The sequence below is a fragment of the Homo sapiens genome, chromosome 7 (assembly GCF_000001405.40).
Source record: "Homo sapiens chromosome 7, GRCh38.p14 Primary Assembly".
Classification (NCBI taxonomy): Eukaryota; Metazoa; Chordata; class Mammalia; order Primates; family Hominidae; genus Homo; species Homo sapiens.
The window spans coordinates 151403079-151427675 of NC_000007.14; the positions used below are offsets into that span (position 1 = coordinate 151403079).

General features: G+C 50.1%; 1 protein-coding gene and 1 long non-coding RNA gene across 21 annotated transcripts in view, besides 1 other annotated feature; one reads left to right on the forward strand and one right to left on the reverse strand.

The window, feature by feature from the left end:
• The window catches only part of WDR86 (WD repeat domain 86), a 41758-nt gene extending 34124 nt beyond the window's left edge, over positions 1-7634 (reverse strand). For 12 of the 18 annotated variants that reach the window (XM_011516151.4, XM_011516147.4, XM_011516145.4 and 9 more), the window contains exon 1: positions 6349-6960. In XM_011516151.4, coding sequence (XP_011514453.1) covers positions 6349-6511 — 163 coding nt within the window. In that variant the 5' untranslated portion in view covers positions 6512-6960. Of the gene's footprint in view, positions 1-5812; positions 5865-6348; positions 6961-7514 lie in introns of those variants that run through there. The other 6 variants (XM_047420328.1, XM_047420327.1, NM_001284261.2 and 3 more) reach the window with 2 other exon arrangements.
• On the forward strand, positions 6083-10276 carry WDR86-AS1 (WDR86 antisense RNA 1). 3 transcript variants are annotated; one of them, NR_109857.1, is made up of 6 exons: positions 6083-6304; positions 8150-8234; positions 8592-8714; positions 8889-8992; positions 9641-9774; positions 10194-10276. It is a non-coding gene; the product is annotated as a WDR86 antisense RNA 1 (long non-coding RNA). The 3 variants fall into 3 exon arrangements; NR_034012.2 differs by lacking the exon at positions 10194-10276 and having other exon boundaries at positions 9641-9970; NR_034013.2 differs by lacking the exons at positions 8150-8234; positions 10194-10276 and having other exon boundaries at positions 9641-9970.
• Positions 7526-8158: an enhancer, noted in NCBI's record as "H3K4me1 hESC enhancer chr7:151107690-151108322 (GRCh37/hg19 assembly coordinates)". NCBI's record gives its function as "activates a minimal SCP1, AML or CMV promoter by ChIP-STARR-seq in primed H9 embryonic stem cells {active_cell/tissue: H9 hESC(primed)}" and the evidence as "EXISTENCE:reporter gene assay evidence [ECO:0000049][PMID:30033119]".
• Positions 10277-24597: the final 14321 nt, after the last annotated feature.

Consider the following 24597-nt stretch of genomic DNA (forward strand, 5'->3'; position numbering starts at 1 on the left):
TACTTATGACACCCACTGCGATGGCTACACATCGCTTCACTTGTGTGGATTCAGTGTAGGACTTGGTGAGCAGGGAAGCCAAATTTTGCTTTTTGGAGCCTTGTGGAATTTTTTTTCCTGGATGTTTTTCATCTGTGGTTAGACGAACCCACAGGTGCAGAACGTGTTGGGCAGGAAGGCCCACTGGATTTGAGGAACTCGGGGACCAGGAAGTCAAATCAAAAGACTGTTAGAACTAAGAGCCATTTTACAGATGAGACAATGGACAAATTCAAACATCCACACATTTGGGGGACATACTTATTACATTAAGAATTTTGATAGAATTTTAAAATTTCATTTAGACAGCTGGTATTGGGTAGACAGGGATTTAGAATTTCCTGGGTAGTTTCAAGCCAATTCACATCCACCCCTTCCCCCGACCCCCTGAGTTTAAGTTCAGTTACTCTTGGAAAAACGCAACTTCCTGAGTTCTAAGAAACATAATTTAACAAAAAAGTTTTCCAGCCTCCCTGGAGGGCATATACCAGGCCGCTAAGAAAACAATGTACGGATTAAGTCAACATTTGAAGAAACTGCAGATTCTGTTTCCCTTAAAATACATGTCGGCTTAAACATTGAGGGCAATGTGTTTGTCAAAACGCAGGCTAGATTTTTGCCAACCCCAGAGGGTTTATAAAATATGTTAAGATTGTCAATAAACTTTCCCTGGGAACAGATCCGTCCCACCCTCCCTGCTGCCGCCAGGAGGGCTCAGCAGAGAGATTGCGGCTGGAGACACCCAAGATGGAAAGGTAATCAAGGTGTGCTGTGGGCATTCAGGTGCCAGGCACCTGCCTAAGGATCCTGTGGGGCCGATACCAAGCCCAGCTGCTCCCGACGCATCTCAGCCCCAGGAAGGTGAAGCGCAGCAGTGAGTCATATGTTAAGCCAAGAAAAGCACTTAAAAGCCAATGGCGGCTAGTGAGCTGTGGCATCTCTACCTGGTGGAACTGAAGCCTGAAGCCAGGGATGCTGAAGACCTGAAATGAGGGACCACTTTATGATGTGTGTAAGGAATAAAGGACATATACGCAGATGATGGCAAACTGATAAAAATGTAAATGCATACAAATATTGAAGAAAACAGGCAATGATGAAAGGAAGGTTTAAAAAAAAAACTCCATTTCTGAACTGGGCCAGGCTGCCCTGATGCCCTCTGCCCTCTGCCCTGTGGCAGAGCCTGGCACTGAGCCCACAGAGGCCCACAGCGTTCAGGGTTCTGCTGTGGACAGGCCTCTTCCCCTGGGTTTCTAAGCACTCACCCACATCTGAACACACGCCCAAGTGAGTCACGGGTCAGAGCCAGGCCAACAGAGCATGTCCCCAACCCCAACCCCTATGTTCCACAGAACACAAAACAGGCCTCCACTGACCCAGGCCTGCGGGGTCACCCTAGCGGGGAGGAGGCGGAACCAGGCCTGCCACCCCTGGAGCTGAGGCCCCCACCCCAACCCCGAGGACCCTAGGACAGAAGAGGGAAGGCATGGGGGTGGGCTCATCACACCTCCAGGGGCTGCAGTGATTGTGCAGAATAAGCAAAAAAGCCAAACTAAAAATAAATATTTCTGAAGGGATGAAGAATGCAGATAAGATGCAGTTATTATGTTCAAAGAACATGCTGAGGCTGACGGTTTTCTGCCAAGGTAGCGCCTGCACACCCTGGGGACTCGCTGGAAGTTTCAAGTCAAACTGCTTCCTCCCCCACCACCCCAATGCAGGAAAAGCAGCTCAGAGCTTCGGACCTGCTGGTGGCGGGTCTCTGCCGGCGGTGGGCTGCAGTGGGCCTGGTGCCCCTGACTTGCGTGGAAGCCGTGTCTCCCTTCCCTGTGTCCCAGCTTTAGACAACGGACTGGACAGCCACCCTGGAAGCCACACGGGGCAGGGATGGCACTGCTGACCTGGTTTGCTCCAGCCCTTGTAGCACAAGGGTTATTTTCACCTGTGGGGGAGGCCCCACTGAGCCTGCTGTCCAGGACTGAGCCTTCCTCTGCTCCCCAATCCCCCTCTTTTCCACCCTGCCACCGCCATCTGCATGGACTTCACAGTGGGCTCACTCTTATCTAAGACTCCCATTGGGTTAGAAAAGAGGGAGCCCACCGTGGGTTCCGACAAGTGGGAGCCGCAGCTGGAGACTCTAGGTCAGGATATGTTCCCCTCCCCCAGCTCCGACCCTGCAGGGCTCCCTCAGGCTGGCTGTGGCCATCCAACCTGGAAGGAAGCCCTCTCAGCTGTTTCCAGGATGCAGTGGCTGCGTCCCCGACTCAGGCCCAGAAGAGGTGACAGCCTTGCTGTTCCGAGCCACGGCCACTGTGGTTCCCTTATGCTCCACCTGCATTTTGCAGTGTCCCTTTATTAAACTCTCCTGGTAGAACCCAGTTTCGAGGGTGCTGGGACCCTGAGGCAGGTGACATCTGGGCCCAGAAGCACCAACAGCGTGGCTGGAATGGACACTGACGTGGCCACCAGAGACTTGTAGCAAATCTGCAAGCCCCCACTTTGAACCAAGACCTACGCAGCTTGGCTTTCTGGACTTCTCCGGTGGGAGCGGTCAGTTGCCCCCAAGCTGTGTGAGGCTGCTGTGGCTCTTGTCACCAGCGTGCCGCAGGCCTCCTTCAGCCCAGTCTTCTGGGCCACTGCTCTCCCGCCAGGCTTCACAGGGAGTCTCCTATGCCACCGGCTCCCAGCAAATGGGAATGTGGGGTTGTACCCAGGAAATTAACAACAATCCCCGCCCCCTCATGTTAGAAGACGAGGAAGCGTGTGGGACAGCCACAGTGGGCTGCCACCTTCAGGCTGAGTCCCCTACTCAACAGGAACAGGATAGGATAGGTACTACCATTTTGGAAAATGTCACTCATCTCATTGAACCAATAAAGTGCCCCCAAATAAGGAGATATTCAATGAATAAACCTGAAAAAGAGGAGGTCAGGGATAAGCAAGTGGCAAGTAATTCTTCTCTTTGCAGAGTAATTGCAATGAAGCCTTTTTCACTGTGAGCTCACCAACCGCATTTGAAAGGCAATTCCGTGTATGAACAAGTGAATGCACCCACAGGGAGGGGCTCCCCACACGCCGGTTCTGCAGCCCACTCTCCCTGGGGCCTCCGGGAGCAGCACCTCACCCACCAACCCCGCACGCCACAGGGAACGGCCTTCACTCTTCCTCTCCCTCTCACCCTTTGGCCCAAACTTTCCTAAGCTCTGCGAGACACCCAGGAAAGCCTGCGGTCCCTGATTGCCCCTGCTGCCATGAACAGAGCCAGAGGTCTCTAGAGGAAAAGCGTACGTAGGAGTCGCCAGCCCCAGCCACTCTGCTCGAGAAATCCAGGACCGGCCAACCACAGGCTCTTGTGGGCCCAGAGCTGTGCAAGGGCCAGGACGGAACCAAAGTGGAAAGAGATCTAGATTTAGAGTTAGGATGCTTCTAGGGATGGGGCCACCACAGACCAGCCATGTGGTCTGGACACAACTTCCCCCACAGTGGTAAGAGAAGCACCGTACAGTCTTCAGAAACCCTCTCTGCCATGGACCAGCTGCGGGACCCTGGACAAGTCCTGCCACCGCACCACGCCTCGAGGGATGTTGGCGACAGCACCCACCCCATTATCGATGGTATCTAGAAAACAACAAGAATGCCGTGTATGCTGCTCATGAGTCTGCACCTCCCCACTCTCCTCTGTGAACTGGTGTCAATCCCACCCACCTCAGAGTTGTGAGGATTCATTACACAATAAAAAAGCACAAAGATGTGTTATTTATAAAATATAGGGCACTAAACAAATGTTAAGACATTTTAATAATATTTCACTGATAGAAAAAAAAAATCCTGCAGGAGAAAGGAACTGGCAACACCTTGCTTTCTTTGGGGATCCACACAAAAGGACTGTCACACACTCACAATGACTCTTTTGCAAGTTGAGCGTATCAGTAGAATCTCAGGATAAAGAAAGATGACCTCTGTCCCCGTCCTTGAAAATTCCTGAAAATACCAACCCATATAACAGCAAAAACAATCCTAGCAAAATGGGCCACAGTTCTTTCATTCCAGTGTCCTGCTTGAGCGGGGATAGCCCTGCCCTCAATTAGGGCAGAAGGTTGGGCACCCTCCCTGGGAAGTGAGTGTCAGTACCTCAAGGGGACAAGCAGCCGTGAGGGTCACCAAAGTGGGTGTGAAGGAAGGAGGCACAGGTGCCAGACACAGAGCTGGGCAGGAGGGTGGGCCCTGGAGGCTTGGTGAGGCTCCAGAGCTGCCGTGGGGGCAAAGCCAAGTGCCCACCAGGCTACCGGCAGCCTGGCAAAGCCTGGGGCCTCACTGGGGAGAAACCCCACCTAATTGTGGGCTAAGCTGGGCTCCCACAACCCGTCCCCAGCCCAGGGGCTCCCGGGGCCAGCTGTGCATAAGACCCACCCAAAAGCTTGTTAGAAATGCCAATTCTAGGCCGGGTGCAGTGGCTCACACTTGTAATCTCAGCACTTCGGGAGGCCAAGGCGGGTGGATCACCTGAGGTCGGGAGTTCAAGACCAGCCTGGCCAACATGATGAAGCCCCACGTCTAATAAAAATACAAAAAAATTAGCTGGGCGTGGTGGCGAGCACCTGTAATCCCAGCTATTCAGGAGGCCAAGGCAGGAGAATCGCTTGAACCCGGGAGGCGGAGGTTGCAGTGAGCCAAGATCGTGCCACTGCACTCCAGCCTGGGCAACAAGAGCGAAACTCCATCTCAAAAAACAACAACAAGAAGAAATGCCAGTTCTACAGCCCTATTCATGGAGGACTGCATCACTGGAGCCCAGGCCTGGGGATCTGCATTTCTGAAACACCACCCACCCCTCTACCCCCAAGACAGTCTTATGTTTGGGAGCAATACCAACTGGACTTAACATTTCTAAAAGACCTCATATTTTCCATTCCTGGTTGAATGCCTATAAGTGTGTGTGGCTGTTTGGGGGGGATGTGTGTTAGTTTGTGGCCACCTCTCCATTATCCACACCAACTCCCAAGTAACCGGTAATCCAAAAGTCATCCCTGTTGGGTTTGAAATATCTGCCCTAACTATGTAATATTTTTTTCTTTTCTTTTCTTTTTTTTTTTTTTTTAGACAGAGTCTGGCTCTGTCACCCAGGCTGGAGTGCAGTGGCACGATCTTGGCTCACTGCAACCTCTGCCTCCTGGGTTCAAGTGATTCTCCTGCCTCAGCCTCCCGAGTAGTTGGAATTACAGGCGCCCGCCACCACGCCCAGCTAATTTTTTGTATTTTTATTAGACACAGGGTTTCATCATGTTGGCCAGGCTGGTCTCAAACTCCTGACCTCTGGTGATCCACCCACCTTGGCCTCCCAAAGTGTTGGGATTACAAGTGTGAGCCACCGAGCCTGGTCAACTGTTCTTATTTAAAACCAGCAGTATCAGGATTAGCCAATATTGGGGCTAATATCCTACCTAAGTTGGAAGGCCTGGGCGAGGCCACAGAGAGTTCACTGATGATGGTGGAAAAGCCCGCGGTGATAAAGAACTACCCACAGCAGAAAGCCTCGCGGCTCATCCAGGGGACTACGTGTGCTACCTGGGCAGTAGGAGGGCCAGAGCTGAAAGGGACCTCACAGTGCATGGGACAGGCCCAGGGGAAGGTGCACCCGAGGCACACTGACCTCCTGAGTGAGTACAGGGCACAAATAGAAACCAACAGGCATGCAGGCAGGGTTTACAGCAATGAGAGGGCTCAGACTGCCATCTACCCCTCACTGGCTGTGCGACCTGGGCGAATTACTTAACTCCCAGCCTGTTTCCACGTCTGTATGTGGGGTAACATAGTGTGACGACGGCACACTTCTCCGCACCGCTGGCCCTTAACAAGCGTCTACTGTTGCTGTGAGAGTCGTCAACAGGAAATGCCAGCAGAAGAGCACAATTGGCCACAAAGAGGCCACAAGGCACCTAGAGACAAGGGAAGGTTTGCTTAGAAGGAGTATAGGTGCAACTTTTTGTTTGTTAACATTGTTGTCAAGGGAGATTTCCTGCCGCTGGTTGACAAATGATCTTCGCCTTTGTAGCGGACGCCCCTCGACCCACCCACCCGATCCCGGCCGCACCCTGCTCTGCACCCGCACCCCACCCCCAGACCTCACCCTGCCCTGCCGTGCGCTCAACAGCCAGATGCTGGGCCCAGACAAGCGCTCTTCCGCTAGTGTGCCGGGATGAGCGGGGGCTGGACTTCTAGAAAGGGGTCTGCGGGCGCAGGAGCTGGGGTCCGCGGTCTGGGGCCGGTGAGCTGCGGCGAAGAGGTCAGGGAGGGAGTGGGAGGGTCTACCTTGCAGGAGCGCGCAGCACTGGCCGTCCGCGGTGCTCCAGAGCCGGGCCGTGCCGTCCTCGCTGCCCGTCAGCAGGCGCTGCCCGTCGGGGCTCAGGCTCAGCCAGTTGATGCCCCCGCGGTGGTCGGCGCAGACCCTCAGGGCCGACCCGCCGCCCCCCATCCCGCTGGCAGGGCGGGGAACAAGAAGGAGCTGCGCCCCGCTAGGGAGGGGCGCCCCGGGGTCCGCGCGGCGGCTCCGTACGACTGCGGCCCGCGGCCATCGCGGGGAACGGGGAGCCCGACTCCTGCGGAGGCACGCGGCGAGGGGAGGGTGAAGGACCCTAGCTCCCCGCTGCCTCCAGCCTCTGGGCCCGCGAACCCAGGGCGCTGCGGGGGGCGGCCCACTCGGGACCTCCGCCCTGGGTAGAGTCCTGGGCGCGCGGGCAGAGAGAACCCCCTTCCCAGCACCGCTCGGAGGATCCACACCCCACCGGGCGAACAAGGCAGCTGCGTCTCTGGTGCACAAGGAGCCCCCCGCCTCCTCTCGCGCCCACGGGGCTGGGGCGGGGAGAGGAACACGGGAAGCCGAGCGCCCCGCGCCCTCCCCGGCCGAGCGCGGAACAATACGGTCCAGCCTGGCTCCTCCTCAGAGACCACCCCTCACCCGATCCCCTCCCACTTCTCGGGCTGCGCCCCAGCCCCCACCCCGCGCGCCTGCAGCCTCCCCCCTTCGTCGCTGTGCGGGTCCGGGGGACGGCTCCACGTGCGACCCTCCTAGCTGCCCGGGCTGCGCCTCTGGGCTCTGGCCTCTGCCACCTCCGCCGCCGCCGCCTGGGTCCCCTGAGCCAAGGGCCGGGACGAGGGAGGGGGAGGCGGACAAAGGGTCGGGGTCGGGGAGAATCGCGCGCCGGGAACTCATTTGGGGCGCAGCTCCACCGACCCCTCGGCTACTCGCCTCCACCAGGCAAGCCAGGTCCTCCCATGCTCTGAGCCCTAAGGACTCTGCCCGAGGGGCTCTCGGGGACTTGGGGGCGGTCCCCCAATGGAGGGTGCGACAGGGAAAGCCCCGAGTCCGCCCTCCCTGGGAAATCACGCGCACACCCAGGATTCTACTTTGGTCTGGCCGGAGTGGGGATGAGGTGCGAGCCGCTGCGGGGTCGGTGGAGCCGGGATGTCAAGTTCACCTTCCAGCCGCCGCGGGCTCCCTCGGCCTGGGGCGCCTCTAATGGACCCCGGGGTCGGCCTGAGCCCTCCCGGAGCGCCCGGCGGCTGGTTTCCATTAGGGCAGTTCCGGCGCCGACTTCGCTGGGGACGGGGAAGGTGACCCCCCTACTCGGATCCCCCAGGTCCTAAAGGTAGCAGGATTTCCAGAACGCTCCAGGGCTCTCTCAGGAGCCTAGGGAGAAGGGCAAGGAAGGGGCGTCTTTGGCGAGCTAGCCCGCAATGGGACGACCAGTACTGCACGCTCTGCTCTATCCAGACTCCAAAAGAAAACCCCATCGTGGGGTGTCCCAGGCCGTTGGGTCGTTTATACCCAGAGTGGCCTAACCAGAGAAATCCGTTCTTTTCCCTCAAAACTTGTAAAGCAGCTGGCGCCTCAGCTTAAGGAGCGTGGCCCTTCCTTAGCAGGTGGTGGAGAGAGGGGCAGTGGAGGAGCGTTAGGACGAGATTTGGGGTCATCCAGCCGGAGAGAGGGAGGCCGAAAGGAGAGACGTTTTCAGGAGGTGGAGGCTTCAGCATTTGGATGCCTGCGAGGCGGGAGAGGCCGGGGAGCCTGTCTTGTGCTGAGAGGCTGGGTAGACTGTTTTGTCCCCTACAGGCTGATCACCAGTTCCTCTTAGGAACCGGTGAACCTCAGGGGGCCCATTGCACATCCAGGTGTGAAACTGCGGTGTGGCCTCCAGGTGAGGACAGACTCGGTATAGTGGGGATCTTGGGCAGGCCCTGCGGCTGCAGCCCTTGGGGAAGGTGAATGTGAGGACCATGGAGGCTGGGAGGGTTTATCCGGAGAAGTGCCAGAGGAAACCCAAACTTTCTGGGCAGAGGGGCCAAGGAGAACCAGGCATCGACTCTTTTGGAAACTAAGAGGGGAGGGGTTTGAAAGCAGTTTGGGAGCTGGGGACAGATCGTAGGTTGGGCGAGCTTGCCTGGTCGTGGGCCAGAGGAAAGAACCACCAGGAGAAAAGCTTAACTTTCAAGGAGGTCACCCAGGATTCCTGAGCAAGGTGGCACCCATGCACTCTGGTTCCTCTCCTCTGCAGCCAACACAAGCCATCAGCCCCATGCTCAGCTCCCAGCAGGCAGAGCGTTCAGAAGCGCCAGCGCCATCATCTTGGGAGCCTGCAGTCCACACACCGCTGACCTTACCTACTTCCTCTTTCCAGGTTGATAGATTTTTTGTTCTTGGCTTCTCCACCTCCCCCACCCCTCCTTCTCCGGTTTGGCACAAAGTGGCCCCCTGGTGGGGATGAGCCAGCCATCTCTGGGGGTTGAGTCTGGACTGTAGAGCTGTGGGTGCAGATGTCCTCAGCCAGCCTGTCTTCCCTTTTCTCTTGCAGGTCGTAGATTACAGACTCTCCTCTGGGAAATTGCCCCCAGATCTAACAGGAGTACAAGAAGCTGGGTAGATTGGAAAACAGCACCGAATTCCCCTGGAACTGAGGTCTCCCCTAATTCCCCTGAAACTGGGGTCTCCCCCAACCTCCACCTTAAGATAGCAAAGCTATAGAGACCCAGGAGTCAGGCTGGGTCCCCAGCAGAACCTGGGCTCCCTTCCCCTTTCACACCTTTAACTCTTCTGGAGCCTCCAAGAGGGCCTGGAGTCCCGTGGTGCCCAGGCCCTCCTGGACCTAATCACTTTATAAATGGAAGGCACCTTGGGAAGGGAACCTGGTAGGGTGTAGGAGGAAATGGTTAAGCTTTAAGAAGCAAGAAATGGGCAGTGTTTAACAAGTGAAGGGTTGGGGGGCGGGTGCATTTTGTGCCAGGGAGTGCTCATTCCCCGTGCCACAGGGACTGCCACAATTTACCCTGCTGGAAAGAGTGACCCTCTGGGGCCTCTCTGAGAAGCATGGTGAAAGCTGGATATTCCTGAGTTGTGTGTGTGTGTGTGTGTGTAGGTGGTGACAGAGGGAGGCACCTTGAGGGGCGCCCACAGGGAACGTCATAGCCAGAGCTTTGTCAGAATTGCTTTTTCCCTTCTGGCACAACCTGCAATGCTGGTGGTGAGGGTGCCTGTGGTCATCATCTTCATAGTTTGGGTACTTACTGTGTGTCAGGTACTGTGCTAAGTGCTAGTATTTTTCAACAGGACGGAAGCCTTCCCAGTCCTGCAGCCACCTGCAGACTCTCACAAGCACGGTGCTCCCGGGAGAAGACCTTGCTACCCCAGGCCCAAGGCAGTCGAGAGAAAACGGGAAGCCCTGAAGGTTTTTCACCCCGGGGGTGAGAGTGTATGATCGAAGATATATTTGAGGGTAATTGTACAGATAGTCCCAACTTAGCATTGTTCAACTTTATGATGGTATGAAAGTGATGACATTCAGTAGAAATTGTACTTCAAGTGCCAATACAATCAGTTTTTCACTTTTGGTGCAGTATTCAATAAATTACATGAGATATTCAACACTTTACTTTAAAATAGGCTTTGTGTAAGATGATTCTGCCCAAATGTAAGGCTGATGCCAGTGCTCTGAGCACATTTAAGGGAAAGCTGGGCTAAGCAATGATGTTCCACAAGTTAGGCATATTAAATGCATTTTTGACTTAGAATATTCTCAACTTGCAATGGGTTTATCAGAACATGACATCGTTAATCACTCAAGGAGCATCTGTACCACTAATGACATAGATGCTGGTTGCAGGAAGGCAGCCAGAGGAGGGCACAGTGTGGAAGAACTCAACTTTTTAAAGACAGAGATCAGCTTTAAATATTGCTAAGAAAGAACTTGGAGAGAGAAGTTGGTGATACCGGAGACAGCAGGCAACAGACAGAGTGAGAGGCCCGAAGAACAAGAGGAGGAGGGAGTCTCTTCTGGGAGCAGAAGGAGTGTCGACTTAAATATTAGGGAGCCAAAGATGAACCTCGCAGAGAACCTGCAAAACCCAGTTGCAGAAATACCTGCCCACACCTAAAAACTCAGTCACTGAAAGTCTGAAGTCAAATGATTATGTGAAATCTTAGTAGTGGGTACATGTGGTTTCATTAGATTATTCTTTGTATCTATATTTGTACTATCTTATAAGCACTATAAGTTTTAAAACCATACAAGAGGCTCTATGGAAAATAAATTGGACTTCATTAAAATTCAAAACGTGTGCATCAAAAGACACTGTCAAGAGAATGAAAAGACAACCCATATGATGGGAGAAAATCACGTATCTGACAAAGGTCTACAATCCAGAACATATTAAAAAACTCCTACAATTCAACAATGAAAGACCGCCACCCAGTTTTAAAATGGAAAAAGGACTTGACGTTTCCCCAAAGATGTGCTCGTGACGAATGAGCATGTGAAGAGATGCTCACTGTTGGCCGGGCGCGGTGGCTCACGCCTGTAATCCCAGCACTGTGGGAGGCGGAGGTGGGCGGATCACCTGAGGTCAGGAGTTTGAGACCAGCCTGGCCAACATGGTGAAACCCCGTTTCTACTAAAAATAGAAAAAATTAGCCAGGTGTGGTGGCAGGCGCCTGTAATCCAGCTACTCAGGAGGCTGAGGCTGGAGAATTGCTTGAACCTGTGAGGCAGAGGTTGCAGTGAGCTAAGATCGTGCCATTGCACTCCAGCCTAGGCAACAAGAGTGAAACTCCGTCTCAAAAAAGAAAGAAAAGAAAAGATGCTCACTGTCATTAGTCATAAAGGAAATGCAAATCAAAAGTACAGTGAGATGCCACTTAACACCCACTACGATGGGTAATCATAGGATGGGAAAAATAAAATAAGTGTGGGTGAGGATGTGGAAAAATCAACCCTCACACACTGCTGGTGAGAATGTAAGATGGTGCAGCTGCTATGTGACCGTCTGGCAGTCCCTCGAATGATTAAACATAGAGTTATAATGTGACCCAGCAATTCCATATATACCCAAGAGAAATGAGCATTATTCCTAATAGACAAGGGAAGAAACAGCCCCACGGTTCATCAGCCCATGAGTAGATTAACTAAATGTGGCATATGCATATAATGGAATACTGTTCCGCCATGACAAAGAGTGAGGTGCTGATAAACGGTACCACGTGCAGGGACCTTGAAAACAGATTAAGTGAGAGAAGTCAGTCACCAAAGACCACATATTACCTGATTCCATTCATCTGCACGGTCCAGAACAAGGGAGTCTACAGAGATAGTTGGTTAGTGGTTGCCTAGGGCTTGGGGAAGAGGTCTGGGGAGTGGAGAAGTGATGGGTATAGTATACACGGTTCCTTTTTGGGGTGATGAAAATGTTCTAAAATGGACTGTGGTACTGGTTGCTTATTTTAATATATCTGTGAATATATTAAAAAACCATTGAATTGTACACTTTACATGGATCAGCTATACAGTATGTGAACTATTTCTCCATAAAGCTGGGGGTTTTTTTGTTTTTGTTTTTGTTTTTTATTTAGATGGAGTCTCACTCTGTTGTCCAGGCTGGAGTGCAGTGGCGCGATCTCGGCTCACTGCAACCTCCACCTCCTGAGTTCAAGCGATTCTCCTGCCTCAGCCTCCTGAGTAGCTGGAATTACAGGCACACGCCACCATGGCCAGTTAATTTTTGTATTTTTAGTAGAGATGGAGTTTCACCATGTTGGTCAGGCTGGTCTCAAACTCCTGACCTCATGATCCGCCCGCCTCAGCCTCCCAAAGTGCTGGGATTACAGGCGTGAGCCACCGGCCCAGCCAAAGCTGTTTTTAAAAAACCATACATACAGTGAGATATCACTTCATATCCACTAGTCTGGGCCATCATTTTTAAAATGGAAAATCACAAGGGCTGGTGAGGATGTGGAGAAATTGTAACACTCATGCAATGTTGGTGGGAATGTAAGATGGTACTGCCACTTTGGAAAAGAGTGTGGAGGTTCCTCAGTAAGGTTAAACACAGAATTACCATATGATCTAGTAATTCTACTCCTAGGTACATACCTCAGAGAATTGAAAACAGGTGTTCAAACAGAAATTTGGACTTAATGTTCATAGCAGCTCCATCCACAATAGCCAAAAGGTGGAAACAACCCAAGTTTCCATGAACAGATAAACAGATCAACAAAACGTGCTATGTTCATACAATGGAAGAGTATTAGCTCCAAAAGGAAGCACTGATGCATTCTACAACATGGTTGAGCCTAGAAAACATGCTAAGTGAAAGAAGCCAGACACAAAAGACCAATGTATGACTCCACTGATGTGAAATCTCCAGAATGGACCAATCCCTACAGAGGGGAGCAGATCAGTGGCTGCCCAGAGCTTGGAGGAGGGGAATAGGGAGTCACTCCTTCCTGGGCACCAGGTTTCGGTTTGGGGTGATGAAATGTTCTATAACCAGACAGTGGTGATGGTTGCATAACATTGTAAATATGCTTAATGCCACTGGATTGCACAATTTAAAATGGTTATGATGGTAAATTTTATGTTATGTGTGTTTTACCACGTACACACATAAAACTTATTTTGTGCCATTAAAAAGAAAAAGCTCTATGAAGCACCTCTATTATTACTACTGTGATTAATGTTTGCAGAACAATATCAGAGAATTAAAAGTATTTAATGTTTGGAGAATAACATATGGCCATATACCCTTAGAACCCAGTATGTACATGTGTCTAGATTGTCAGTGTTGCTGGAGTCCAGAGAAGGATGGGAGCAGCGCTAGATGTCCAGAGAGCCCTGGTGTCCCTGAGCCAGGCCATGCGCTCAAGGGCTCAGATCTCCCCCACACCTCCCACTCCCTCACATTCAGAACAGCGTTCTCTCCATCTGGCTCCAAGGGGTCAATGTCTATTCCAGTCAGGTTCCGCATTTCAAAGGAGGCAGCGTCAAGAGACCAGATCGTCTGCTCCTGCTAGGAAGTCTTTGTCCTGGTCTCTGTTGGTCACTGCCTCTAGCCCTGGAGTCCAGAGTCAGGCCCAGCTGAGTTAGAGAGTTGCTGCTTGGAGCCTGGCCCTAGGCACAGAGGGAGGTCCGGAATTGGGATGCGCATAGGTTTCTGTGGTCCCCCAACACCTGGGACTGGAACGTCTGGGCCCTTCCTGGGTCTCTCACCAGGGCTATGTTATAAGGACAGGGCGGTTCTGGAGAAAGCCAGCTGGTAAACATCCCATCCCCCCAAATTTTCACTTTATCCCCCATACAGCCTCTTCCTGGCAACTTCAGAGAAATGTCAGAGGCTAATGAGATAGAGGGAATGCAGTTTTAAAACAGCTTTCAAAATTCACTCACTTTGACTTCTGCTTCTGGCCAAGAGGGAGTAACAAGGACCCATTTACCCTCCTGCCTCCTCTCTGAAACAACCCTAAACAAACACAAAATATATGAAGCAATTGTTTTCAAGACACTGTACACCAGGTGGTGAAGGACAGCAATCCCCAAGAGACGGGAAAAAATGAGGCGAGCCGATGACTGGCCCGGTTTACTGCCTTGAGAGAATGTCCAGACCACAGAGCAGGAACGGGGATCCCAGACGGAGCCCAGTGGACTTCCTTGGTTGAGGAAACAGCTGAGTGTCTAGGGAGAACTAAGGGACTGGAGTGAGCAGGACAGAGGACTAGAGAAGGGAGAGCCCTGGAGCGCTACACAGGTTCCCCCTCCACATCAGCTGAGTGTCCGTCAGCACGTGCATGGGAGGAAACGACTCCAAGTAGGATAGGGTCAGAGGCAACTCAGCATCTGCACAGAGTGGAGAATAGTGCAGACAGAGGCGTGAAGACAGTTGCTGTGGATAAGAACACATGGGGCCGGGTGCAGTGGCTCATGCCTGTAATCCCAGCACTTTGGGAGGCCAAGGCAGGCGGATCATGAGGTCAGGAGTTCAAGACCAGCCTGGCCAACATGGTGATACCCTGTCTCTACTAAAAATACAAAAATTAGCCGGGTGTGGTGGCATGCAGCTGTAATCCCAGCTACTCGGGAGGCTTAGGCAGGAGAACCACTTGAACCAGGGAGGCAGAGACTGCAGTGAGCTGAGATCATGCCACTGCACTCCAGCCTTGAACAGAGTGGGATTCCATCTCAAAAAAAAAGAAAAGAAAAGAAAAGAACATATGGACACAAAGAGGGGAATAACAGATACTGGGGCCTACTTGGGGGTAGCAGGTGGGAGGAGGGAGAGGATCAGAAAAAATAACTGTTGGGTACCTGGCTTAGTACTTGGGTGATGAAGTAATTTGTACAACAAGTCCCTATGACACGAGTTTACCCATGTAACAAACCTGCACATGTACCCTTGAACCCAAAATAAAAGTTGAAAATAATTTTTTAAAGGACAGTTATTGGCCAGGCACAGTGGCTCACACCTGTAATCCCAGCACTTTGGGAGGCCGGAGTGGGCAGATCATGAGGTCAGGAGTTCGAGACCAGCTCGGCCAATATGGTGAAACCCTGTCTCTCCTAATAATACAAAAATTAGCCAGGCATGGTGGCACGCGCCTGTAGTCCCCGTACTCAGGAGGCTGAAGCAGGAGAATCTCTTGAACCTGGGAGGCAGAGGTTGCAGTGAGCTAAGATCGCACTACTGCACTCCAGCCTGGCGAGAGAGTGAGACACCATCTCAAAAAAAAAAAAAAAAAAAAAGGACAGTTATTCAGTGATTGTACTGTATTCCATATGTTCAAAAACTTATGTAGGAACATGGAAGATATCAAACAGTTCAAAATTGAACATCTAGAGATGAAAGCAATATCTGGAATTAAACAACACTGGGTGGGATTAACAGCAGATTAGATGATACAGAAGAAAATATTAGTAAACTTAAAGACACAGCAGGAGAAACTATCCAAAATGAAAAACAGAAAGAAAAAGGAACTTAAAAATGAAAAAAAAAATCAGTGATCTGTGGGACAGGTACCCTAAATATATGTAATTGGAGTCCTTGTAGAAGAGGAGAAAAAGGAGGTAACAGAAAAAATATTTGAAGAAATAATGGCTGAAAAGTTTCCAAATTTGATGAATAAGTCCATAGATTCAAGAAACTCATTGTACCCCATCACAAAAACATAAAACGCACAAACTACCAAAGTTGCATCAAGAAGAGTATGTAATCAAAATAGCTCTATATCTATTTTTATTTATTTTTAAAATCGAATATCTGGATAAAACGTTCCACAAAGAAAATTCAAGGCCTAGGTGGTTTTACTGGGGAATTGCATAAAACATTTAAGGAAGAAATAATACCAATTCTCCACAAAATTTCCCAGAAAACTGAAGAGGTGGGAACACTTCTCAATTTATTCCATGAGGCTGGTATTACCCTGATACCAAAATCAGAGACATTATTTGTAAAGAAAATTATAGGCTGGACACCGTGACTCATGCCTGTAATCCCACCACTTTGGGAGGCCAGGGCAGGAAGATCACTTGAGTCCAGGAATTTGAGACCAGCCTGAGCAACACAGCAAGACCTCATCTGTATTAACATTTTAAAAAATCAGCTGGCATGGTGGCATGTTCCTGTAGTTTCAGCTGCTTGGGAGACTGAGGTGGGAGGATCACTTGAGCCTGGGAGGTTGAGGCTGCAGTGAGTTGTGATCGCACCACTGCATTCCAGCTTGGGTGACAGAGCAAAACCCTGTCTCAAAAAATAAATAAAGTCCGGGTGTGGTGGCTCACGCCTGTAATCCTAGCACTTTGGGAGGCTGAGGCGGGTGGATCACGAGGTCAGGAAATCGAGACCATCCTGGCTAACACGGTGAAACCCCGTCTCTACTAAAAATACAAAAAATTAGTCGGGCGTGGTGGCAGATGCCTGTAGTCCCAGCTACTCCAGAGGCTGAGGCAGGAGAATGGCCTGAACCCGGGAGGCAGAGCTTGCAGTGAGCTGAGATCGTGCCACTGCACTCCAGCCTGGGCGACAGAGCAAGACTCCATCTCAAAAAATAAAATAAAATAAAATAAAATAAAATAAAATAAAATAAAATAAAATAAAATAAAATAAATAAAAATAGAAATAAGAAAATTACACACCAATATTTATCATGAGCATAGATGCAAAAATTCTTTTAAAAATTTTAGCAATTGAGTTCAAGAATGTATAAAAACAATAAAACATGGTAACCAAGGTTTATCCCAGGAATTCAAGGTTGGTTTAACATCCAAAAGTCAATCAATGTATGGCATGAGGATAGGCATATAGATTAATAGAATAGAATTGAGAGCCCAGACATGTATGGACCATTCAGCAGGGGAAAGAGTAATCTTTACAAAAAATGCTGCTGGGACCACTGGATAGCCATATGCAGGATACATTTGGGCCTCTACCTCATACCATATAGAAAAATTAACTAAAAATGAATCAAAGACCTAAATGTACGAGCTAAAGCTCTAATGCTTTTAGAAGAAAACACAGGTGTAAGTTTTCTTAATCTTGGATTAGGCAATGACTTCTTAGATACACCTAGAGAATAAGCAAACAAGGAAAAAAAATCAGACTTCATCAAAATGAAAAGCTCTTGTGCTTCAAAGTATGCTATCAAGAAAGTGAAAAATCAACCCACAGAATGGGAAAAATATCACAAATCCTTCCAGCCTCAGACCTGGGAGATACCAGATGTTAAGGAGAAAATCCAAAGGACTTGGAAGACCCTTCCTTGACCGCTTCCTCCATTCTCAGTGCATTTCTGAGGACCGAGACAAGCAAGCCACGGCAAGGCTCTTGGCACCTGGCACAGTTCTCCCAGCCCAGATGGAGATCTCAGACCTTCTGCACATAGGCACCACATGTCTTGAAAGGGGCTTTTGTTCTTATCTGCCACAGTAAGGCACCGTGGTTAGAGTGTGTGTGTGACTGGGAGGGACGAGGAGGGAGCCCCATGCAGGAATGTCTGTTTCCACTCACTCCATAGGATTTCTAACTGCCCACAAAATTATGCCTTTGCTTATTCTTTGTGTGGATTCTGAAGCCCAGCTTAAGGAGTGCTGGGGTTGCTAATCCTACAAAGGGTATTTTGTGTGAGTTCAGTGTCCTTCCTAGTGGGAGCCAGGGCTGGTGGGGCCATCCACTCCACACCCGCCTTTATGTTGCTGGGAGCAGAAAAAGGGAGAAAGTGGGAACCATCCAGATTCTCTGGTTGCGGTGAAATAAATGAGTTTAGTGAGTTTAAGCAAGAAAAATGGATTTATTGAAAAGAGAGCAAGAGAAGATAGAGATAAATATCCAGATTTGAAGGATAAGCACTAGGGAGATGCCAGGGAGCTCGGCAGCTGGGCCTTGTGGAATCATCTCCACGATGTTGCTGCAAGTGGACTTGGCTCCAGCCTGCTTTTTCCCAGTGTGCTTTTGCACCAAGTTTAATTCCAAGGAGAGAAGGCTTAAATACCTTACCTTTTCTTTTTTAAGAGATGGAGTCTCACTCTTTCACCCTGGTTGGAGTGCACTGGTATGATCATAGCTCATTGCAGCCTCGGACTCTTGGGCTCAACCAGTCCTCCCACCACAGCTTCTCGAGTAGCTGGGACTATAGACATGAGCACCCACCTGGCTCAAAGGTCAGAGTTTTTAAAGTTAAGTCACAGAAAGGCTGGGCATGGTGGCCCACGCCTGTAATCCCAGCATTTGGGAGGCTGAGGCAGGTAGATCACAGGAGGTCAGAAGTTCAAGACCAGCCTGGCCAACATGGTGAAACCCCATCTCTACTAAAAATTCAAAAATTAGCCAGCACAGTGGCATGTACCTGTAATCCCAGCTACTCAGGAGGCTGAGGCAGGAGAATCGCTTGAACCCAAGAGGCAGAGGTTGCAGTGAGCCAAGATTGCACCACTGCATTCCAACCTGGGCAACAGAGTGAGACTCTGTCCCCCCCCAAAAAAAAAAAGTCAGAATACACATGTGATATTATAGCAGCTGCCCTCTTCAAGGATGCCTGGCCTTCACATTCAAAGGGTGCCAGGTCTGTGGGCTGACCCGGGTCTGGGAATTTCATAACAGGCCATGGTTCTCTAGCATGCTGGTTCTACTTGGGCCTCTTGCAACCTTCCTGAGTCTACAAAAAAAGGGGGACATGAGTGGATTGATTACCGACTTAATTTGGGGGATACCTGTCAATCATCCATGACCTGAGATTTTGGAAGGTGAGACGACTCCCTGAGATCCAGGCTCCACTTAGCCCTACCCAGTGCACTTCCGGAGTGAAGACCTCCAGCTCCCAGTGCTCCTCTCACCCCTCAGAGATTGGGGATCCCCCTTCTATCACTGTCCCTCCCATTAACAATCCATGGCAGTTTACTCTTTGTGGCAAGGCTGAGGGTGGAGGAGTCGCCTGATTCCATCCTGAGGTCCATCCCAAGGGGTGGGTGGGGTGGAAACACACAAAAGGATCTATTTCAGCATCTTGTCTCCCACAGCTCAGAACCAGTCCCTCTCTTATGCCAAGGGTTCCTAGCCTTTCTGCGCCACTTCAACACCATCAACTTTGCATCAGCAGGTTGTTAGGACATGGACAGCACCCCCTAAGCCAGTACACAGAATGCAGAATTGTCTTATCAATACCCTTGGTGCAAGCCAGAATCCAGTTCTTCCCTCTTTGGCCAAGAACCCTCAAAAATCCATTCCCACAAACATTCTCCAGACTTCTGGCAATGTGGATGAGTGACCTCCGGCAGTTTCTCTAGGTCTCTCTGTACTTCTCCCTCTAGTCTAAGCCACACACGCTGAACTCCTGTTATGGGGCAAGCAACGCTACATAGTGGGCTGTGAAGGGAACTCTTAATTCTCTCCTTCAAAAGAGGAGCATCTTTCTCAGGTAAGAGGAACATAGTGGGGGGTGTTTTAAAGGACTTGGGGGATCTGGAGGTTCTAGTTTTCCAAATACTCCCAAATATCCCCGTTCCAATGGTTGGTGTCTCATTCTTTTTGTGTTAGTGCTTTAAATTTCACATCAAATCTCTGGGAAGTTCATGCAGACAACTAACGTTTTCATTTAGCAACCTACAGGATTCGTCTCCAAACTCTGTCCCTAATGAGATTTTAGACTGGTCACAGGAAGGCCTTGAGTTCTGCTCTCCACCTTGAGAGGAGCTTTGTCGGATTTAATCTTGATGTGCATCCAAATATCCAGTGCTGTCAGAGGCAACTACATGTCAGCTGCGTTCTGCATTCTTTTAAAATTATGTTGCAACAGCAACTGTACGACCCTCAAAACCCTGCCTCAGTGTGTTGTACCTGAGCGAGTTAGAGAAAATGCCACACTTTGAGATGAATTAAGAGTCCGTTTATTTAGCCGGTGGTCAAGAGACAGCTAATGCTCAAAGTTCTCTTGGCCCTGAAGAAGGGACTAGATTTTCTTTTATGCTTTGGTTTAGAAAGGGGAGGGGGTCTAATTAAAACAATTTTACAGAAATAAAGTAGGCAAAAAACTTAAAAGGATAAATGGTTACAGGAAAGTAAACAGTTCCAGGTGTAGAGGCTTTAAGACTATTATAAGGTGTTAGAAGCGGGGCTTTTTGGGCGTTATCAATCAGACGAATTCCTGGGAACTGCGGATATAGCTTGCCACAGTATCTTATCAGTTAATTGCATTCTTGGATGTGCTGGGAGTCAGCTTGCACGAGTTAAGTCCTTGAGGAAGGGGCTGCCAGTGAAAGAGCCAAGATGGAGTCTGTCTGGCTCTCTTAGCTAAGGGAGAGTCAATTCAGGTGGAACCAAGGCTAGGTGATTAAAGGGAAGAGGGAGAGTCTAAAAACAGGGTTAGTAAAAACAAGGTTGGGCATTACAAGTGCACACCTGGTTCCAGCTGGCCACGGAGGGTGGCCTGACTAGGCATGTGGCCCGTCTGTACCACAGGCAGCTCTCCCCTTTCATTTCTGTCATAACAAAGTACCACAAATTGAATGGCTCAAACAACAGAAATGTGCTGTCTTACAGTTCTGGATGCTGGACGTCGGAAATAAATGAAGGTGTCAGTAGGGTTGGGTCCCTCCGAGGCTTCAAGGAATCTGTTCCAGGCCTCCCTCCCAGCTTCTGGCGGTTTGCTGGCCGTCTTTGGGGTTCCTTGGCTCACAGAAGCATCACCTGGGTCTCTGCCTTTATCTTCACATGGTGGTCTCCCTGTGTGTGTGTCTGTCTCTAAATCCCGCCCCCCCTTTTTTTTTTTGAGACAGAGTCTTGCTCTGTTGTCGGTGCAATGGTGATCTTGGCTCACTACAACCTCCGCTTCCTGGGTTCAAGCAATTCTGCTGCCTCAGCCTCCCGAGTAGCTGGGATTACAGGTGCCTCCCACCACGCCCATCTAATTAAATTTCCCCTTTTTATGAGGACACCAGTCATGATGGATCAGGGGCCCACCCTACTCTAGTAGGATCTTGATGTGGACTGAACTGTGCACCCCCAAAATTGATGTATCCGAGCTCAAACTCCAATGTGACTGTATTTGAACATAGGGCTTTATCAGCTAATTAAACTTAAATGAGATCATAAGGGTGGAGACCTAATCTCATAAGAAGAAGAGAGAGATCTTGTGCTCCTTCTGCCGTGTGAGGACACAGCGAAAAAGTAGCCAACTGCAAGTTAGGAAGGGGGCCCGTCACCAGGAACCAAGTTGGCCAGCACCCTGAGCTTGGAATTCCCAATTTTCAGAGCTATGAGGAAATACATTTCTGTGTTTAAGCCATCCAGTCTCTGGTATTTTGTTACGATAGTTTGAAAGACTAAGACACACCTCATCCTAACTTAACTAAGTGCATTGCAAGACAGTCCCATTCTGAGGTGCTGGGGGTTAGGAGTTCAATGTATAAGTTATGGTGTCAACCCATAATGCCATCCACACCAGAATGTAAATGGGAGTTTAACTACTCTCTACTCATCTAGATCCCAATAACTAATTCCAAATATCCTACATTTTTCTGCTGGCCTGTGGCCTTCAACCTTCTGTCTAGTAGAAATTTCTGTCAGTTAGGGTTTTTGGTGTGCAGGTAACAGAAACGGACTCGGCTCAAGCCTCTATCCACCTTGGGTTCCTCTGTGTCTCTGTGTAAGATTCAAATTCCCAGGAGTGCATCTGACTGGCCCAGCCCACATGTGGCAGGGCATTGAGGGTGAGGCACACACACCAGAACCAAGGCAGGGCCAGGGGAAGGGTCATTCCCTAAAGGCAGGAATTCTGGGTAGCAAGGCCAGCATGAGTTCTGGGAAGAGGTCTGGACTGCTCCATGGAGACCTACGATGTAAACACAGGCAAACCCCTCTACCTCTCAGGGTCTCGATTCCTTTTTCATTAACCAGGAACAACAAGACTTATTCTGCTCACCTGACAGGTAACCATCAAACATAAATGAAGATAGGGATGCACTTGGAAATTAACATAGAGACTTGTTACAGCAGCCAGACACCCGGCCCCTTCTCTCTCTAATCTAAACAACCACAGCCCTGCAGTTTCCAACGTGAATCATGTTGCCTTCTCTTCTGGAAACCTTTCACATGTTTCTTCATAAAGGCCCCACACCGAATGTGGCATTCCCATGCAATTGTTTTCCATTTCCACATCCCACAAAACTCTCTTCCAAAGAATCTGGGTTTGCTCCATGACAGAAACAAATAGGCCAGGCGTGGTGGCTCACACCTGTAATCCCAGCACTTTGGGAAGCGGAGGCAGGCAGATCACTTGAGGTCAGGAGTTCGAGATCAGCCTGGCCAACATGGTGAAACCCCATCTCTACTAAAAATACAAAAATTAGCCACGGTCAGGATACCGTGGCCATTGAATATATGCCACAGGGCAGGCAGTGCCTCTAATTGGGAAAAAACGAACTACGACCTTAAATAGATGAACTATTTAATAGGTTGGTTTTTTAAAATCTATTTTAGTATTTCCAAGTGCAAGTGTCTTTATTGCTCACCAGACAATGAAGCACAGGGTTTAACACAGGAGGACCTACCTGTTTGAGGTTTGGGGGTTTTTGGTTATTATGTTATTAGTTAGGAATGTTTTCAGCTGCAAATAATAGAAAACCTACGTGTGGTGAAACAAATAGGGGTTCACTTCTCTTACATAACAAGAAGGGTGGCTGCTGATGCTGATTTAGCAGCTCTGTGAGCTTGGTGCCAGCCTTTCCCTGGTTCTCTTGGCTTTTATCTCATGATTACAAGAAGGCTGCCTGAGTTCCTGGCGTCACATCTTTATTCAAGGCAGGAAGCCAGGGGAAAGGGGCTTTTTATCCAGAAAGCCAAAGCTTTTTCTGAAGTCCTTCTGTCAGCTTTCATCTCAGTGACCAGAGCTATGTCCCATGGCCTGGGAGGCAGAGAAAAGAGCATTTGGCTTTTCTGGATGCTTTAGTGAAGGCAGGCAAGGGAGGGAGGAGGGCACTGGGATTGGAAGAGCTAATCCACAGCGTAGGCTGTGGCTCCTTAAATCTTCGTTTGTTTACACTATGAGGCAGTGGTGTAGTGTTTTTCAAACTGGAGAATTGTGACCTACTAGGAGGTTGCGAAATCAACTTAGTGGGTCTCTGACCAGCATTCTTTTAAAGTAAAATAAAATAGAAAATATTGATGCTCAACTAAATAGTGAGGATCGGGACTATTTGTGACACAGCTGTGTTAGTTTTATATCTAATGACCTACATGTGAGTCTCAGTCAAAAAGATTGGGAAGCCGTTGCCACAGGGGATGATGTGTAGAGGGGGTTAGGTGTGGGCTGGGGTCAGACGGCCAGGGGCACTTGGCCTTTTTGGCCATTTATGGCACACATTTGGGCAAGTTACAATCATCCTTTTAGGTCTATTTCTTCCATTGTAAAAGAGAGAAAATAATATACCCACCTTGTTATATGTAAAAAATGGGTTAGCACACAGTTTGTGTCATAGTAATTACCCAAGAAAATGCTGTTGGTATTGGTATCTACTGATAACCAGTCATTGCCAGGTCCCGCTTTCATGACCCAATTAGGTTCACTTAAAAGTAGCAATATACTCATACGTAAACCAGAAATGTTAAAATCTCCTCCCCCACAAAAAGTTGACTTTGGCACAGTGCCGTCCACCGAATCCTGTGGGATGCTATTACAGAAAATCCTAGGAAACCTGTTAATTTCCCCGCAGGAGGGCTAACGTTGAGGGTGCAGCTTGTGAGTCATCGGCATGGGGCCAGCGGACCCGTGGAAGAAACTTCTCTCTGGCCTCGGTCCCAGGAATTGCTGGGCTTCTTCCGGAAAACTAGCTTCCTTTCATCTTTGGGACTGAGCGAATGATGGAGCTGATCCTGTTTCCCTGCTTGCTTTGGCCCAATTAGCAGTTCCTCTCTAGCAGACAGCACAGGACTTGTGGCGGGGAGAATATTATGGATGCCTCGCTTTTTTCTACAACATTTTTCTAAGTCCCCTCTGCCGCAAAGATTTCTTCCCCTACTTTTTGTATCTGCGTTTTTATCACAATGGGCTCCTCCCCTGGCCTTGGGCCCAGTGCCTCCAAGGATAAAGCAACACTTGAGCGTCCCCTCTGTGTGTAGAGGTGACACCACCTCGGCCATCACCAGCCCCATGAAGGGACTTCTACCCAGCAGCCCCACTGGGTGGGAGCGCCCATTTCTACTGCCCGCATGTCTGTCTGTGCAGTTTAGGAATGCCAGGGCTGGTGCTTAGGCTGGGCACACTGTGCGGGGGACATGCCGCCCTGCTCCCTGTGCCTGGCACCTAGAAATGAACACTTTACGGGAATGGAACCCAGGGCACGACCATCTCAGCCCGCGGAACGATCCAGCCCAACTGGTGAGAACTCCCGCTCTTGGTGTTGGGGGCCAGGCAGGGTTCGTGGAGAGGGTCCTTATAACCTGCTCAGCCCCCTAGCCAGAGCAATCCTACACATCGCTGAGCCCTCTTCGGGATGAGAATGCGCACCCTCAGCCCAGCCGTATCCTCTGCCCCTGCCCCTGCCCCTACCCAGGGAGGGCAGTCCTGGGGGTCCCAGGGCAGGCATGGACCAGGACTAGCGTTACCAGCACTGACCTGCCCAGTCCATCCCCCAGCCCCAGCAAGGCTGGGTCCAGGGCTTCCACCCCTCCATGCACAGCCCACGCCAGCTGGGTTCCACAGGATCCTTTTAAATCACAATTCCAAAGCGGGCTGTCCACAGGCAAGGAAGCCAGGAG